The sequence below is a fragment of the Homo sapiens genome, chromosome 5, assembly GCF_000001405.40.
Source record: "Homo sapiens chromosome 5, GRCh38.p14 Primary Assembly".
In the NCBI taxonomy this organism is placed as follows: Eukaryota; Metazoa; Chordata; class Mammalia; order Primates; family Hominidae; genus Homo; species Homo sapiens.
The window spans coordinates 17,948,307-17,952,816 of record NC_000005.10 but is presented as its reverse complement, the minus strand read 5'-3'; the positions used below and the strand labels follow the sequence as shown (position 1 = coordinate 17,952,816).

Here is a 4,510-nt window from a genome sequence, read left to right as displayed (position 1 = left end):
ATTTCTCAGTTATGAGGCAATGGCCACATGTGAGTGGAATGTGAAAGGGTACAGTTGGAGAATATCTGACATGCTCAACTCTCATATTTTTATAAATTATGATGTCGATGTCACTGAAGTTTGTTCTCACATTTGCTTCTACTACCTGCTGGTAATATACAGTACAGAATTTTTACCACTTCTACCATAAACAAAGGTCAGCAATCACTTTAAAATACAAATGTTGACACATGGTTACTTTATCAAAAGTTTCCCTTCGCTTAAACCTCATTGAAGAAAATCTAAAGAAGCACAGCAGTGTGTGGAGACTCACATCCTGAACTTCTGCTCCAGGAACTACCACAGGAACATACCAGGAAAGCCAAGAGAATTCACAGACTCTTTGAAGGAAGCAGATTTCTCCTGCAGGACCCGGGAGAGAGCTGAAAACCTTTGAGTGTCCCAAGTGTGAAAGGCGGATCAATCATCTGCCCCAGAACACAAACCCTCACTGGGGAACCTGAAGGTCCAGATCATGGGAGAATTTGACCTTACCTGGAGATCAGACAAATTTAGAGAGCCAAGCAAAATATAGGGGTCGAAGATGCAGTGGAAAGAGCCCTGTGGGCTCTCTCAGTCCCCAGGGAAGCCATTTCTGACTTTATCTTGCAGAGGTCCTTGGGGAGGGCTCACAGGGGAACTGGGAAAAGACCACAGGGAAAAGGAAACTTCCAGCTGAACTTTGTAACAATTTCGGCTGAATGGGAAGTTTCCTGGACAGAACTCAGAGGAGGAGGTGAATCAGGAGTGCAAACATAGCTCAGAAGCCAAGGCAGGCAGGGAAGTGCAAAACCGGAAAGGCTTGCTTGCTTTCTCAGTGGGGAGGCTTGCAGCCTGGGGCAAGTTCTCAGCCCTGCTCACCTGGCTGCCTGGAAATAAACTCAGTGCTCTTGGGAGAGGGCATGGTGGGAGTGAGACCAGTCTTTTGGGCTGCACGGGAGCTGGGTGAGGCCTGTAACTGCCAGCTTTCCCCTGCTTCCCTGGCGACCTGCATGAGGCAGCAGAGGCAGCCATAAACCCCCTGGGAAAATAACTCCACTGGCCTAAGAACAATACCGCCATTCTCCACAGCAGCAGCAGCAAGTCCCACCCAAGGAGAATCTGAGCTCAGACACGCCTAACCCTCCCCCCACCTGACGGTCTTTCTCTCCTGTCCTGGTAGCCAAAGACAAATGACATAATCTTTTGGGAGCTCTAGGGCCCTGCCCACCACCTGATCCTCCCTATACTACTAGAGTTGATGCTCTCCTGAAAGCGCCACCTCCTGGCAGGAGACCAACCAACACAAAACTAGTGCAATAAATGAACGACAACTAAGGACCCTCACAGAGTCCATTTCACTCCCCTGCCACCTGTGATAGAGCAGATGCTTCTATCCATGGCTGAGTGACCTGAAGATGGTTCACATCACAGGACTCTGTGCAGGCACCTGCCAGTGCCAGCTTGGAGCCTGGTAGTTCTGCTGGATGGCCAGATTCAGAAGAGAAATTACAATCATTGCAGTTTGGCTCATAGGAAGCCACATCCCTAGGGAAAGAGAGAGAGCACTACCTAAGGGAGAAACACTGTGGAACAAAGGAATCTGAACAGCAACGCTTGAGCCCCATATCTTCCCTCTGACATAGTCTACCCAAATGAGAAGGAACTAGAAAAACAATTCTGGTAATATGACAAACCAAGTTTCTTTAAACCCCCAGAAGATCACACTAGCTCATGAGTAATGGATTCAAACCAAGAACAAATCCCTGAATTGCCAGAAAAATAATTCAGAAGATTGATTATTAAGCTAATCAAGGAGGCATCAGAGAAAGGTGAAGTCCAACTTAATAAAATCAAAAAAGTTATAAGATATGAAGCGAAAAATCTTCAGTGAAATATATAGCATAAGTGAAAAACTGTCACAACTTCTGGAAATGAAGGACACACTTAGAGAAATGCAAAATACCCTGAAAAGTCTCAGCAATAGAATCAAACAAGTAGAAGAAAAAAACTTCAGAGCTTGAAGACAAGCTTTTTGAATTAACCCAATCCAACAAAGACAAAGAAAAATGAATTTAAAGAAATGTACAAAGCCTCCAAGAAGTTTGGGATTATGTTATATGTCCAAACCTCAGAGCAATTGGTATTCTTGAGGAAAAAGAGAAATCTAAAAGTTTGGAAAACATATTTGAAGAAATGGTAGAGGAAAACTTCCACAGCCTTGCTAGTGATCTAGACATCCAAGTACAAGAAGGTCAAAGAATACCTGAGAAATTTTACCACAAAAAGATCACCTATGCACAGAGTCATCAGGTTATCTAAAGTCAAGACAAAGTAAAGAATCTTAAGAGGTGTAAGGCAAAAGCACCAGATAATCTATAAAGGAAAGCATATTAGATTAACAGCAGATTTCTCAGCAGAAACCCTACGAGCTAGAAGGAACTGTGGCTCTATCTGCAGCCTCCTTTAAAAAAAATTATCAGCCAAGAATTTTGTATCCAGTGAAACTAAGCTTCATAAATGAAGAAAAGATACAGACTTTTTCAGACAAAAAAAAGAAATGCTGAGAGAATTCACCACTAGCAAGCCAACACTACAAGAACTGCTAAAAGGAGCTCTAAATCTTGAAACAAATCCTGAGAACTATACCAAAATAGAACCTCCTTAAAGCATGTATCTCACAGGACTTATAAAACTATAACACAATGAAAGAAAAAACACAAGGTACTCAGGCAACAAATAGCATGATGAATAGAATAGTACCTCATATCTCAATACTAACATTGAATGTAAATGGCCTAAATGCTCCACTTAAAAGATACAGAATGGCAGAATGGATAAGAATTCACCAACCAAGTATCTGCTACCTTCAAGAGACTCACTTGACATGTAAGGACTCACATAAACTTAAGAGAAAGAGGTGTAAAAAGACATTTCATGCAAATGGACCCGAAAAGGAAGCAGGAGTAGCTATTCTTATATCAGACAAAACAAACTTTAAAGCAACAGCAGTTAAAAAAGACAAAGAGGAACATTATATAATGATAAAAGGACTAGTCCAAAAGAAAAATATCACAATCCTAAATATATATGCACCTAACACTGGGGATCCCAAATTTATAAAACAATTACTACCAGAGCTAAGAAATGAGACAGAGAGCAACACAAGAATAGTGGAGACTTTGATAGTCCACTAAAAGCACTAGACAAGTCACGAAGACAGAACCTCAACAAAGAAACAATGGACTTAAACTATACCCTAGAACAAATGGACTTAACAGGTATTTACAGAATATTCTACTCAGCAACTACAGAATATATATTCCATTCATCAGCACATGGAACATTCTCCAAGATAGCCCATATTATAGACCACAAAACATGTCTCTATAAATTTAAGAAAAGTGAAGTTATATCAAGTACTCTCTCAGACCACTACAGAATAAAACTGAAAATCAACTCCAAAATGAGCCCTCAAAATCATGTAAATACATGGAAATTAAATGACCTGCTCTTGAATGATCATTGATCCAACAATGAAAGAAAAATGGAAATTTAAAAATTCTTTGAACTGAACGATAATAGTGACACAACCTATCAAAACTTCTGGGATACAGCAAAGGCAATGCTAAGAGAAAATTTCATAGCATTAAATGCTTATATCACAAAGTCTGAAATTGTAACAGCCTGACCAATGTGGAGAAATCCTGTCTCTACTAAAAATACAAAATTAGCCAGGCATGGTGGCTCATGCCTGTAATCCCAGCTACTCGGGAGGCTGAGGAAGGAGAAACACTTGAACCTGAGCTGACATCATGCCATTTCACTCCAGCCTGGGCAACAAGAGCGAAGCTCCATCTCAAAAAAATAAAAACAAAAGAAAAAAATCTGAAAGAGCACAAATGGACAATCTAAGCTCACACCTCACAGAACTAGAGAAACAAGAACAGACCAAACCCAAGCCCAGAAGAAGTAGAGAAACAACAAAGATTAGAGGAGAACTAAATGAAATTAAAACAAAAAAAAATACAAAAGATAAATGAAACAAAAAGCTGGTTCCTTAAAAAGATAAATAAAATTGATAAACCATTAACAAGATAAACCAATAAAAAAAAGAGAAGATCCAAATAAGCTCAATTAGAAACAAAATGAGATATTTACAACCAATACCACAAAAATACAAAGATCATTCAAGGTTAATGAACATCTTTACATGCATAAACTAGAAAACCTAGATGAGATGGATAAATTCCTGGAAATATACAGCCCTCCTAGATTAAACCAGGAAGAAACAGAAACTGTGAAGAGACCAATAACAAGCAGTGAGATTGAAATGATAATAAAAATAATTGCCAACAACAACAACAACAAAAAGTCCAGAACCAGATGAATTCACAGCTGAATTCTATCAGACATTCAAAGAAGAATTGGTACCAATGCTATTGACACTATTATACAAGATAGAGAAAGAGGGAATCTTACCTAAATCATT

The 4,510-nt window shown here is 39.6% G+C and overlaps 2 annotated features.

Moving 5' to 3' along the window:
• Positions 284-861: an enhancer, noted in NCBI's record as "H3K27ac-H3K4me1 hESC enhancer chr5:17952065-17952642 (GRCh37/hg19 assembly coordinates)". NCBI's record gives its function as "activates a minimal SCP1, AML or CMV promoter by ChIP-STARR-seq in naive and primed H9 embryonic stem cells {active_cell/tissue: H9 hESC(naive and primed)}" and the evidence as "EXISTENCE:reporter gene assay evidence [ECO:0000049][PMID:30033119]".
• Positions 862-1,440: an enhancer, noted in NCBI's record as "H3K27ac-H3K4me1 hESC enhancer chr5:17951486-17952064 (GRCh37/hg19 assembly coordinates)". NCBI's record gives its function as "activates a minimal SCP1, AML or CMV promoter by ChIP-STARR-seq in naive and primed H9 embryonic stem cells {active_cell/tissue: H9 hESC(naive and primed)}" and the evidence as "EXISTENCE:reporter gene assay evidence [ECO:0000049][PMID:30033119]".